A 12,653-nucleotide genomic window follows, 5' to 3' on the forward strand; every position below is an offset into this window, starting at 1 on the left:
CATGCCAGTAACATGCACTAACCGGGTACTGTGTCCTCAGGCCTGGCCCCACCCCCACCCACCCACCCTCCTGGACTCATCCTGGCCTCCCAGGTCAGACCCTGCATGTGAAGACCAAATGGCCTGCTGCCCTGAGACTGCAGCCTGTTATCCCTTTGGCCTAAAGCACTGTGCTTAAATGTGCTGCTCAGAGAATCCAGGCATCTGACCCAGCACAACCACCACTCATTCCCGCCTCCAGAATGGAGCAAGCCTCAAGTTTGGTTGCTTCCATTCCATTGTCTTTGGGTTTTGATCCAGGACTTACCAAGCCCATAGGATAACCCAGCTTATCATCACAGTCTGACCTATGGATCTCACCCCCTGACAGCAGTCACCTGATACGAATGACACCACCCCTCACACTCAAAAGGGCCCTCCTGGAGTTCAGAATCGTATTGGGTCCCAGGTAACCAGGACAGATGACACTGGTGCTCCACTGCCTGGAGGAGGAGCACTGGGAAGGGCACAGGGCAGACACCTCCACAAACATGGACAGATTCAAGGATGCAGCGGGGAGTTTTCTCTTAGGACTCTGTTCCTTGAAAAAGAAGCGGCTAGAAAGCCTCGTAAAAGGCAGCATCTTTGGTGCCACCACGGCGTAGCACCCTAATCCTCTGCACAATGTCCAGCTCCCGGGAACCAGCCAGTGCTTGGCATTTAGTAGACGCTCAATAAATATTTGGAGAATGAATGAATGAATGAATGAGTGAATATGTAGCTTAGTGAGTGGGGAAACATTCCCTAAACCTCTGGCGAATGAATGGATGAAGTGTAGGGAGCCCCCTGATGTTCAGTTAAAGCCTCCACCCTCCCTCTTTCTCTCTTCTGAACTTCTACTGCTTCCATTATAATCATATTTCCATGGTAGGAAGTTTTTAAAATTTATTTTTAGAGGTGGGGTTTTGCCATGTTGCCTAGGCTGGCCTCAAACTCCTGGGCTCAAGCCATCCTCCCACCTCAACCTCCCGAGTAGCTGGGACCATAGTCATACACCACCATGCCCAATTAAAAAAAAAAAAATTTAAAGACAGGGTCTCATGATGTTGCCTAGGCGGGCCCCGAGCTCCTGGGCTCAAGCAATCCTTGGCCTCCCAAGCAGCTGGGACTATAGGCATGCACCACCACACCGGGTTTTTAAAATAGATTTTATTTTTTTAGGCCAGTTTTAGATCTACAGAAAAATTGAGAAGATAGTACAGAGAGTTCCCATATACCCCCTCACTCACTTTTCCCTATGATTAATAGGCTATATTACTATGGTACATTTGTTATAATTAATGAACCAATATTGATACATTATTATGAGCTAAAATCCAGACCTTATTCAGAGTTCCTTAGGGTTTTGTTTTTGTTTTTGTTTTAGATTCACAGGGTTTATGTGTGGGTTTGTTACATGGATATACATGATGCTGAGGTTTGGGCTTCAATTGAATCCATCACCCAGATAGTGAACATAGGGCCCAATGGGTAGCTTTTCAGCCCTTGCCTCCTTCCTTCTCTCTCTCCTACCTCTTTTGGATCCCCATTGTCTGTTGTTCCCAACTTTATTTCCATGTGTACCCAGTGATCAGCTCCCACTTACACGTGAGAACATGGGGTATTTGGTTTTCTGTTTCTACATTCATTCACTTAGGATAATAGCCTCCAGCTGCATCCCTGTTACTGCAAAGGACATGATTTCATTCATTTTTATGGCTGCATAGTAGTCCGTGGTGTATATTTACCATGTTTTCTTTATCCAGTGCACCACTGATGGACACCTTGGTTGATTCCATGTCTTTGCTGTTGTGAATAGTGCTGCAATGAACATGTGAGTGCAGGTAGGGTCTTTTGGGTAGAGTGATTTCTTTTCCTTTGGGAATATGCCCAGTAATGGGATTTCTGGGTCCAATGGTAGCTCTATTTTTAGTTCTTTGAGAAATAGCCAGAGTTCCTTAGTTCGTACCTGGTGTCTTATTCTGCTCCTGGATCCCATCCAGAGTACCACATTACACTTCATTGTCATATCTCTTAGGCTCCTCTCGATAGAGGCAGTTTCTCAGACTTTCCTTGTTTGGGGTGACCTTGAAAGTTTTGAGGAGCACTGGTCAAGCATGTGTAGGCTGCCCCTCTAGTGGAATATGCCTGATGTTTTTCTCATGATTAGACTGGGGTTATGGATTTTTCAGAGGGAAACCCTGGAGAGAAAGACACCTTATCAAGGGCACATTCCATCAAGGTGAGTTATCACTATTGATGTTGACCTGAGCCACCTGGCTGAGGCAGTGTTTGTCGAGTTTCTCTACTGTAAACTTCCTCTCTTCCCCTTTTTCCATACCGTCCTCTTTGGAATGCAGTGAGCATGCACTGCCCTCACCTAAAAAGTGGGGAGTTGCACCTCCCCCTGACCATTGTTACGTATTTGAAGATTGTCCATTTGGAACAAGCATGGCCAGCCCTTATATTTACATTCTCAGATGATAGAGTACACACTGAAGTTAGAAAGAGAGGTCAACTGTGAGTTCCAGCAGAGGAGGGGTCTTGCCTTGCCTGCTTCTGTGGCCCCAAAAGAGTGCCTTTCACACTGCAGGACACCTCTTCCATGTTTAATCAATACCTCCTGAATCGAGTTAAACCACCACCGCTGTCCGCCAAAAAAGAAAAACTCGCAAAAGAGTCTACAGACTGTACATGCCTCTCTCAAGGGCACAAGAGTCCAGGAAATGGGTTCTTATTGCTTCACTCGGAGTTGATTAGAAGGAAGCTGATTCACCAGCAAGATGCACGAGACACACCCTGGTGTAGATGAGTGAGACCTCATCCCTAACCTTCATAATACAGTCTGTACAAAGCATTTTTGCAGATAACAGGTCTTATCTTTTTTATGACCAGCCAGTACTTACCACGTGTCCACTATGTGTCTGGCACTCTGGATCACAGAGATGATGAAATGTGGTCCAATAGATGTAAACTTTAGATGAGATGTGTTAGTTTTCTATTGCTGCAGTAACAAATGACCATAATTCAGAGGCGTAAGGCAACACCTGTTTATTATCTCATGGCTTCTCTGGGTTGGAAATCTGGGTGCAGTGTGACCCAGCTGGGTTCTCTGCCTAGAATCTCAAGGGCAAAATCAAGGAGTCAGCAGGATTGTGTTCCTTTCTGGGGGCTTTGGGGAAGAATTGCTTCCAAGCTCTTTCAGAGATTTTTGGGTAGAGTTCAGTTCCTTGTGGCTGTAGGACTGAGGTCCTACTTCCTTGCTGACTGTTGGTGTCACACTTAACTCCTAGTGTGGTTACCTGAGTCCCCTCACGAGCTTGCCATGTGGCCCCTCCATCTTCAAGCCAGCAACAGAGCATCAAGTCCTTCTCAGACTGGGATCTCTTTGTCATCTTGTTCTCCCCCCTCCCGTCTGAAGTCCTTTTCTGCTTCTACTTTTAAGGGCTCATGTGATTACTTTGGGCTCGCCCAGATAATCCAGGATAATCTCTCTATTTGAAGGTCAACTCATGAGGAACTGCTATGCTCTTGAATGTTTGTCCCCCCAGAATTTAAATGTTGAAGTCCTAACCCCCAAGGTGGTGATATTGGGAGGTGGTGTCTTTGGGAGGTGAGTAGGTCTACAAAAGACACCCCAGAGGAGCCTCAGCACCCCTTCTACCACGTGAGGACATAGCTAGAAGGCACCATCTATGAGAAAGTGGGCCCTCACCAAACACCGAGTCTGCGGGCACGCTGATCTTAGACTTCGTAGCCTCCAGAACAGTGAGAAATAAATTTCTGCACTTTATAAGCCACCCAGTTTAGAGTATTTTGTTAGCAGCCCTAATGGACTAAAGCACTAACCTTAATTACTCCTGCAAAGTCGCTTTTGCCATGTAAAGTAACGTGTTCATGGTCCCAGTCCCAGGGGTTATTAGGGCATGCAATCTTCTAGGAGGCCATAATTATTCTTACCACACAGTGCTTCTCAAGCATGAATGTGCATGGGAGTCACCTGCAGAGTGTGTTAAAAATGCAGATTCTGATTCAGTGGGCCTGAATGAGAGTGTGCATTTCTTACAGGATCCCAGAGGATGCTACTGCTTGTGGTCTATGGAGCACGTTTTGGGTGGCAGGGCTTTAGGCCAGAGGAAACAAATTTATAGCCCACAGCCCAGGTCGAACCCATGACAGAATTTCAGTGCATGGAACCTGTGGTTCTCAAACTTAAGGGAATGTCAGTATCACCAGAAAATTTGTTAATACGCAGATGCCTGGGCCTCACTCCCAGGGTTTTTAAGTCAGAAGGTCTGGGGCGAGGCCCAAGCATTTACATTTCTAATAAGCTCCCAGGTGATGCTGGTCCAGGGACCACACTTTGAGAAGAACTGCATTAAGCCGATAGGCAGGCAGTTATTTTTATGAGTATTAAGTGAGGGGAGCACCGAATGCCCTTTGGTTATAAAGCCTCTCGTCATTGAAAGTTGAGTCTCTTTGTCCTTCAACTATGATTATGCCTCTGTGAATCACATCTGAGGTGACACTGTTCCTTCTGTGATCTACCCACTTTAATTGAAGGGTTTGGATTTTCTTTTGTATGCCAAGCTGTATGCTTCTGCCTCGGGAACACAATGAAGTAGGTAGATTTAAGAACAGCTTGAACCACTCACATCACTAGTGGCCCCAAACCCATCTTTTAAAATTCAAAAGAATATTTATTGTTTTTATCACAAAAGCAATGCTTGTTTCTTGTAGAAAATATAAATAAAAGAAAAAACATCCTCATCTCACCCAAAGGTAACTACTCTATTTTTTTAGATCTTTTTCTATACATATCTGTCAATCCAAATATATTTGTAGAGGGTTTTATTGCCAAAAAGACATGGTACAAACTGTGTTGTAACCTACTTTTCTTCCTTAATCTATTGTAAACATTTTTCAATGTAACCCCTTTGAGCCCCTAGTTTCAACACCCTTTGTCCAACAAAAAGAAACAAAATGCTCTGTTTCGTTTTTCCTCCGATACACCTGAAGCTGGAGGGAGATTAATGAACGGAAATGGCTGCAAAGTGGGAAGAGGTCAACGTGAACGATGAGGGTCAAGGACAAGCAGGCGCGTGTGTCCCCAGCACTGAAGGGCAGCTGTAGTTTTGGGTTGCAGAACCAGTTCCCTCCCACCTTTTGTTTGGAGCCAGTGATTCAGCTGAGCACTTCTGGGTCCGGAAATGCCTCAGCACCAGAATCAAGTTCACAAGAAAGCTGAATCAGGAGCGTTTGTCTCGTTAATGGAGAACACAGTCACAGGATCAAAAGGGCTAATTTCAGGATAATTCTCCTGAAATCCTGCTAATTTCAGGATAATTCACTGCTTCCAGAATTTTAGAGTACTGGTAAAGGTGGGTTTGGGGTAAAAACTTATTTTCCATTCTCTATGAACTACAAAAACCTGCTTTCCAGTAGGTAGCGAATCATGAGGGCCAGAGAGAAGAATTTCTTAAGCTTCACCAGTGAACCCACTAGAAATAGACAGTGGACAAAACAGAGCAAGTAAATCCAGGACCCATGAATGCAAACGACTTCTGTGCTACCCCAGGGGATTTCTCCTGTGGCCTGCAGTAAATGTGTGAGCTCTTATCACCTGGAGGGACGCATTCCTGGGGCACAGCTTGACTGAGGCTGGCCACAGCCCCCTGTATCATGACCTCCTCTTTCTTTTCTGCAGAATGAAGTGATCAGCCAGCAGCTGTGCGTCATCTTCACACACTGCTACGGGCCCTACCCCATCCCCAAGCTCACAGAAATCAAACGGAAACAGACCTCGCGCTTGGGTGAGTGGTTCCCCCAGGCCTGTGTTGGCTGCTGCTTTGTGATTTAAGGACGAGGAGCCAAAGAATGCCATAAGGAATGCCAGGAGGGAGGGGGTTCAAGGGCAAACAAGGTCAGTACAGGAGTCAGGCCGGGGGAGATCAGAATTTCTCCTTTATTATGTGATGACACTGGAGAACATACCTTGGGAATGTGGACAAGGAGATTTGCCAGTTAAAGGGACTTTCTCCCCTAGACACAGACAGTGGGGGCTGCCAAAGGCCTCCTGATTCCATACACATCCCCCACACAGGTGGCTCCTGAAAGAAGTCCACACTGCACGTGGCAACTCTGTCCCCCAAACTCTCCCCTCTAAAAGTCCTTCTTCCTCACTCAGAAGGAATGAGAAGGAGACAGTGAGGGGCCAGGGCTGTTCCTCTAGTGGAGATCCTTCTACAGGAAACTAGGAGAAGGGAGGAACAACCCCCCCCCCCCCACCCACCCACACACACACACACACACACACACACACTCCCATAAAAACATGAGGGGACATACCTGAGCGGCAGAGGCTGGATGCTTATAAGTCTCATGAGAGTATCAATAACCTCTTCTGGGAGGCGTGCACTGTGCCGGCTCCAGCCAAGCACTTGACCTACCCCATCTCAAGTCATCTTCAGGCCACCCCAAGAGGCAGGCACTGTGACTGCAATATCAGTACATTATGGCTGCAATATCAGTAGAGGGTGAAGCTGGAACTTGAACACAGGTGTGCCCGGAAGCTGTAATTTTGTCGTTCTGCAGTCCCAGCTTCTGAGATTTTTCAGAAGAAACCTTTCCATCAGGCACTAGGTTCTTTCAGAGGATCCTGGGGCTGTTGCAACCGAGTTGATCAACCTACAAAAAGGAGAAGGAATATTAGGCTGCTTTGAGGCCTGAAACATGAGCCTTCTGTTGCAAGGGCCTGTCTCCCTGCTACCTGGAGATTTATCAGATATTAAAGATAAAGGATTCTTTTTCCCTAGATAGGTTGGGGACTTTTCCTACTTCCTGTTTCCCTTTCCTAAGAAAATTGAAGGACATCTGAGTAATAGAAGACTGAAATTTCTACTCTTTAGCAAAATTTGAAAGGGATGAGCCAGTTTAGATTAATTAAAAGGCTGAATTCATGGGACTATTTTAAAGTTATTTTTGTTCCCATCTTGAATAACTTGTTAATTTAAATGAGACACAACTTTTTGCTGAAATGGAAAATTTTAGCAGCTCAGTCAAAGGCTGTCTATCTTTCTGACCATGTGTAGAGGAAAACTGGGATGTGCCCAAGTCCCAAGTACTTCTCCCTTATAGAAAACAGGTATTAATTAAAATGTTATCAGGGCAACACGTTATAAAGACCAGTCAAATTAGCAAACATTAGAGAGTGAGGGGTACATTCCCAGGACATAGCAACAATCTCTGATGTCTAGGTGCCTCATAAGACACCCTCCTTAGAGCAAACTTTTGCAAGGTCGGTTTCAATGGCATAAAATCTGCTTTCCCTTAGCTACAGGAAGGGAGGGAACATTTTCTCCTCCTGAATTTGCTGAGGTTTCTTTCACTAGCAGTTAAAAGTTTCTGGTTTGGGGCCAGACGTGGTGGCTCACGCCTGTAATCCCAGCACTTTGGGAGGCTGAGGCAGGCAAATCAAATACCATCAACATCCATTGAGCATCTACTATAATGGTCATGTTTACTGAGGGATACTCATGTGTCAGCCATTTTGCTAAGTGCTCTTCATAAATTCACTCATTTATTTGTCATTACTTTTAAGGTCAGGAGTTCGAGACCAGCCTTGCCAACATGGTGAAACCATGTCTCTACTAAAAATACAAAAAATTATCCGGACGCAATGGCGCATGCCTATAGTCCCAGCTACTCAGGAGGCTGAGGCAGGAGAATCACTTGAACCTAGGAGGTGGAAGTTGCAGTGAACCAAGATTATGCCACTGCACTCCAGCCTGGGCAACAGATTGAGACTCCATCTCAAAAAATTTAAAAAAAAAATGTTTTTAAGTGCCTGTTTTTCAGCCCAAGCATTAGAATTCCAAGGGTTGGCACCAAGAAGAAAAGAAAAGGCAGACCTGAGAGGCTCAAAGCTCATGATATAAAAGAAAAAGCATCATGTAGTTATTAACAAATGGAATATACAGCAGGTACATTTTGTGTCTTCAGTCTAGCAGCTCAAGCTAGCATAACTAAAGGTCACCAAATAGTGGTTCTTTAGGGACCTGCTTTAAAGGAAAGACAAGAATGATCAGTGACAAGGATCTCAAACCGGCATCTCTGTGGGACCAGGCAGGTGATATAAACGAGTGAAATGAATTCAGCGCTAGACAATAGGGAGTGGTGGGGACTGTGGCAAATCGGAGAGCACTGATTTTGTGTGTGTGTGTGTGTGTGTGTGTGTGTGTGTGTGTGTGTGTGTGTGGTATGGTGTCCTGTTGCCCTCCCAATGAATTCTGGGAGAGAGTGGTGAAAGTAAAAGTAGAGGATATTAACAGTCTGGGAAGCAGGAATGGGGGACTAGCTGGAGATGAACAGTGGGTGTGATAGGTGAGCAGAGGGAGGCAGGTTACCGAGCAGAGAGAAAGTCAAGTGAAGAAATGAGTTTTCGTCAACTCTCAGGCCTTCTCCCCTGCAGCCTCTTTTCCCTTTATCTGGATCATTTCAGAAGTTCTGGGGGGAGTTTTTTAATTAAAATGTTTAAAGAAAGTGGGATTACACAGGTGATTTTTACCGTTTATACTTTTCTAATATTTTTAAAGTAAGAGCCTTTTTTTAAAAAATGAGAAGAAGTGAGGTAGCTCTGTACTGACAGAGAAAGGTGAGTGGAGGACCACCAGGACCACCGTCTGGGCAGCACAGGGTTCAGGGTCTGAGTGAAGAGAATCAGTCTGGAAGGCAAATTCTGGGTCCAAGTTACAGCAGTCTGGGGAAAATGCAGCCAGACCAGGGCCCCAAGGTGCAGTCAGCCAGGGTGAGCCCAACAGCTGAGTGGTCACAGCCCCCAGGAAGACAGGGGCTTGGTCCTGCCCTCAATAGTTTAGGACAACCCATAAATCCAGCCATAGGAAGCAGTGGGGTTTCTTTTCAGCACAGCCCCTGAACCCCTGGGGAAGGGACCATCAACAACAAAGGGGCCTCCAGGCTAAGAAGGTTCCCCGGGTCCTCGGCAGCCTCCTAGAGCAAGTTTCTGCAACAGGAGTCAAGGCGTTCTTTCATTCACTCGAAAAACATCCATTGAACCTCTACTAATAGTATAATGGTCAAGTTTATTGAGGGATACTTATTTGTCAGCCACTTTGCTAAGTGCTCTCCATAAATTCACTCATTCGTTTATTCCTCACTACTCTGTGATGGAGTATAATGGGTATTACAATTTCCATTTTACAGAAGGAGAAACTGAGGCATGGGTTGGCTAAATAACTTGCCAAGGTTACAGAGCTGAGATTTCTAGCCTCAGAGCCCACACTCTTACTACACTTTACCACCTTTCCGTACTAGACACAGATGAAAGGCTTTGAAATGGACAGACATGGATACATCATAGCATGATGAGGCTACAGCAGGGGTGCATATGCTGTGGGAACTCAGCTGGGGCTACTGGGTCTGGGGAAGGTGGGGGAATCTGGCAAGGCTTACTGACCAAGGGTGTCTGATCAGTATGTCTGAAACTTGAAGACCACCTAGGGATGAGCCAGGTTTGGAAGGGGCTGGAAGGGTGCTTTAGGTAAAGGAACAGTGTGTGCAGAGCCCCAGAGGGGAGAGAGCACGTAGCACTCATGGGGAACTGAGAGCTACCCATTGCTCAAGCACACACACAGTTTGACAGGGAGAAGCCAGAGAAGGCAGTGGAGCCCAGTCACAAGTGGCCTCATTAAGACGTTTAGACTCTATCCTGGGAGCAATGGGGAGCTATTGAATGATTTATAGCAGAGGAGGGGAGTGGCATGATCAGAGCTAGCTTTAGGAAGGATGGCTCCTGCAGTGAGGTGGGTCATCAGATTGAGGGGCCAAGAGTGGAGGCAGAGAGACCAACAGAGGCTCCTGTGAGTTCCCAGAAAGAGAGGATGTGGCCCAAACTAGGGTAATATCAAAGGGAATAGAGGGAAATGGAAGATTCAGGAAACACTTAGGAGGACAGGGGGTGATGATGGATATTCTCAACAAGACAGAAGTGCTGAGCTGAGGACAGACTGGCACCTTCAGGAGCCTCAGGTCTCAAGGGCTGAAATGACAGGCAAATCGGAGGATCCTAGTGTTTAACAAAGCAGGCCATCCTATCAAAATGTCCAAGTTCAAATTGTAGCTTCTCCACCAGTCACTAGCTTGAACAAGTCACTGTAAATTCTGTGTGCCTCAGTTTCTTCAACTGCACAGTAGGGATAATGTGCAACCAGGTTGCATATCATAAGTGCTCAGTAAGTAGTAGCTAAATCTTCTTTATTCTAGAAAATGAGGGAAGGGAACAGGCTCATTTGTCACTGACCCTGATAGGGAAAGGCTTGGACTTAAATCACCTGGAATGCAGTGGTGAGGGGACAGCTCTTCTAAACCACTTCCATTGGGCAGGGAGGGCGCTGAGCCCTGAGAGAGAGCAGCAGAAGTGGGGATGAGTGGCATTCTTAGAGACAAGGTGGGTGGGTGACTATAGGTGAGTCTTCTCTGGGGAAATGCTACTTTTAATCACAAATAAGCTATAAGGATTTCCTATGAAAAACTGCATTTCAGTGACTTGACTGTTCCTCTGATTAGTCCTGTCTGCTGTTTGGTTGCTGTCTTGCCAAAGAGTATTTTATCACCAAGATTTCCTTGCTCACTCTTATTTGCACTTTCTACAAGATAAATCTAAACTTCATCCTTTTTTCCACTAAAGCTACCTTTTTTTCCCTTTCCTATTCCAGATCCTCATTTTCTTAACAATAAAGAAATGTCTGATGTTACATTTCTGGTAGAAGGAAGACCATTTTATGCTCACAAAGTGCTGTTATTTACAGCCTCTCCAAGGTACGTATCATCGGTTTTGAAAGCAGCTGCATTATGACTTTGGCTGTTGCTATTACTATTTTTTGAAGTTCAATTTTGGTGGTCTCTTCGCCGGACTGGCTGGTCATCTTCACAAAATCAAGAATTCAAGAGTACAGGGAAGCTGCTAGCATAAACAACCTAGAACAAGGGGCCCTCTCCTCTGGGCACATAAAGGGGCCAGGGGGGCCGAGCTTTGGGAGCAGAACATGGATTGGATTTTGGCTCCCTCGGCTAGGTGGCCTTGTGCAGTGAACAACCTGAGACCCCCACACACAGGAGCCTTGAGACAGCCACTCTCCAAATGTCAGGGAACAGACTTTGGCATAAGCCACTGAAATTCACAGATCCTGACTTTACTTTTCCCTAACTGTGGAGTTAACAGACAGTAGTATCATGTAACAATAGGAAGAACTGCTCACCCTCTATGCCAGCTCTGCAACTGCCCTTTCTTCTCATTTTGAGTTGAGATTGGGTTGACAGTTTAGAACCACATTGTCCAGGGACCTGAACAGGGAGCAGTGAGGCTGGGGCGGAGGAGAGATTGATGCTGAAATGAGGAGGAGGCAGGAGAGAATGATGCTGAAATGAAGAATACCAAGCGTCCCAGCTGGGTGGCGAGCAGGGGGTCCCTGAGTTGGGTAAGGACACTGGGAACCCAGAAATGGAACTTCCTTCCAGGAAGTTTGCTAAGAGAATGTGTGTGACCAGCACTCCCTGCATTTCTAAAAGCATCCAGGAATCTCCAGTCCCCCCACCAAAACCAAACACAAACCCCAGATGTCTGCTTTGCCACTGCAAGAAAAATTTGTTTTCCCTTGCATAGTTTTCAGTCATGACAGCATAGACAAACCAGATCAATATTGTACCAATGTTATATTCTTAGTTTTGACAAAGGTACCATGGCTGTGTAACATGTTAACATTAGGGGAAGCTGGGTGAGGGGTAAACAGGAACTCTCTGTATTATCTTTGCAACTCTTCTGTAAATCTATAATTTCAAAAAATAAGTTTAAAAAAACAGACACATATCAGCTTATTCTTAAACATTATCCATGTGTTCCATTGATAAGATCTCTACCCACAAAGAGCTTTTAGTTTAGTTGATGGGCAGGAAAGTGCATTGAAAACCCAAGACAGAAAGTCACCCATAAGGGAGATGATTAGGTAGTCAACAAACATTGATTAAATATCTACAATGTGTCAGGTTCATACTGGGACAGGATGTGGGGATGTAGCAAAGACAGAAACCACTGAAGTCCCTGCCCTCATGGAGCAAAATGTGTTCCATGGGCACCCGAGGGGAGGGAGTGAAGCCATAGCCCTAGGCTCAGGAGAGATGCCATGAAGGTGGCGGCCACGTGACAGGCCCTGAAAGATGGACAGGGTTTAACAGGCACTCATTCTTTTCCAATCACCAGTTGGAGAAAGAATGTAATTGTTGAAAACACTGTTTTTTAACTTTAGAGTTTTAACTTCAAATTAGATTACGGTATAATAGGAGGGTTTAAATTAAGAAATGTAAGGATATACCAGTGCTATATTTCAGATTTGCAGGGGAAGAAACAAGGTATTTCCATTGTCAGGAGAGCAGAGTTTTTTGTGAGCCATGGATTTGTGTGTGAGTCTTTTTTATCTCTTTTTTATGTCCTTGTTCAGGTTCAAAGCACTCCTCTCCAGCAAGCCGACAAATGATGGCACCTGCATAGAGATTGGTTATGTGAAATACTCCATCTTTCAGGTGAGCCCCTGGTGTGGCCTGGCCTCTGTGCTGGTTGGCAC

The 12,653-nt window shown here is 45.6% G+C and overlaps 1 protein-coding gene across 8 annotated transcripts in view, besides 2 other annotated features; it reads left to right on the plus strand.

Moving 5' to 3' along the window:
• ABTB3 (ankyrin repeat and BTB domain containing 3) overlaps positions 1-12,653 on the plus strand; it is a 341,209-nt gene that overhangs the window by 311,126 nt on the left and 17,430 nt on the right. For all 8 annotated transcript variants that reach the window (NM_001018072.2, NM_001347943.2, XM_047428301.1 and 5 more), the window contains 3 exons: positions 5,726-5,831; positions 10,752-10,854; positions 12,531-12,612. In NM_001018072.2, coding sequence (NP_001018082.1) covers positions 5,726-5,831; positions 10,752-10,854; positions 12,531-12,612 — 291 coding nt within the window. The remainder of the gene's footprint in view (positions 1-5,725; positions 5,832-10,751; positions 10,855-12,530; positions 12,613-12,653) is intronic.
• Positions 1,868-3,067: an enhancer, noted in NCBI's record as "BRD4-independent group 4 enhancer chr12:108025204-108026403 (GRCh37/hg19 assembly coordinates)". NCBI's record gives its function as "activates an origin of replication core promoter dependent on BRD2, P300/CBP, MED14 and CDK7 cofactors, and independent of BRD4, by STARR-seq in HCT116 cells {active_cell/tissue: HCT116}" and the evidence as "EXISTENCE:reporter gene assay evidence [ECO:0000049][PMID:35650434]".
• Positions 5,823-7,022: an enhancer, noted in NCBI's record as "CDK7 strongly-dependent group 2 enhancer chr12:108029159-108030358 (GRCh37/hg19 assembly coordinates)". NCBI's record gives its function as "activates an origin of replication core promoter dependent on BRD2, BRD4, P300/CBP, MED14 and CDK7 cofactors, with strong dependence on CDK7, by STARR-seq in HCT116 cells {active_cell/tissue: HCT116}" and the evidence as "EXISTENCE:reporter gene assay evidence [ECO:0000049][PMID:35650434]".

Source organism: Homo sapiens, chromosome 12, assembly GCF_000001405.40.
Source record: "Homo sapiens chromosome 12, GRCh38.p14 Primary Assembly".
Taxonomy (NCBI): Eukaryota; Metazoa; Chordata; class Mammalia; order Primates; family Hominidae; genus Homo; species Homo sapiens.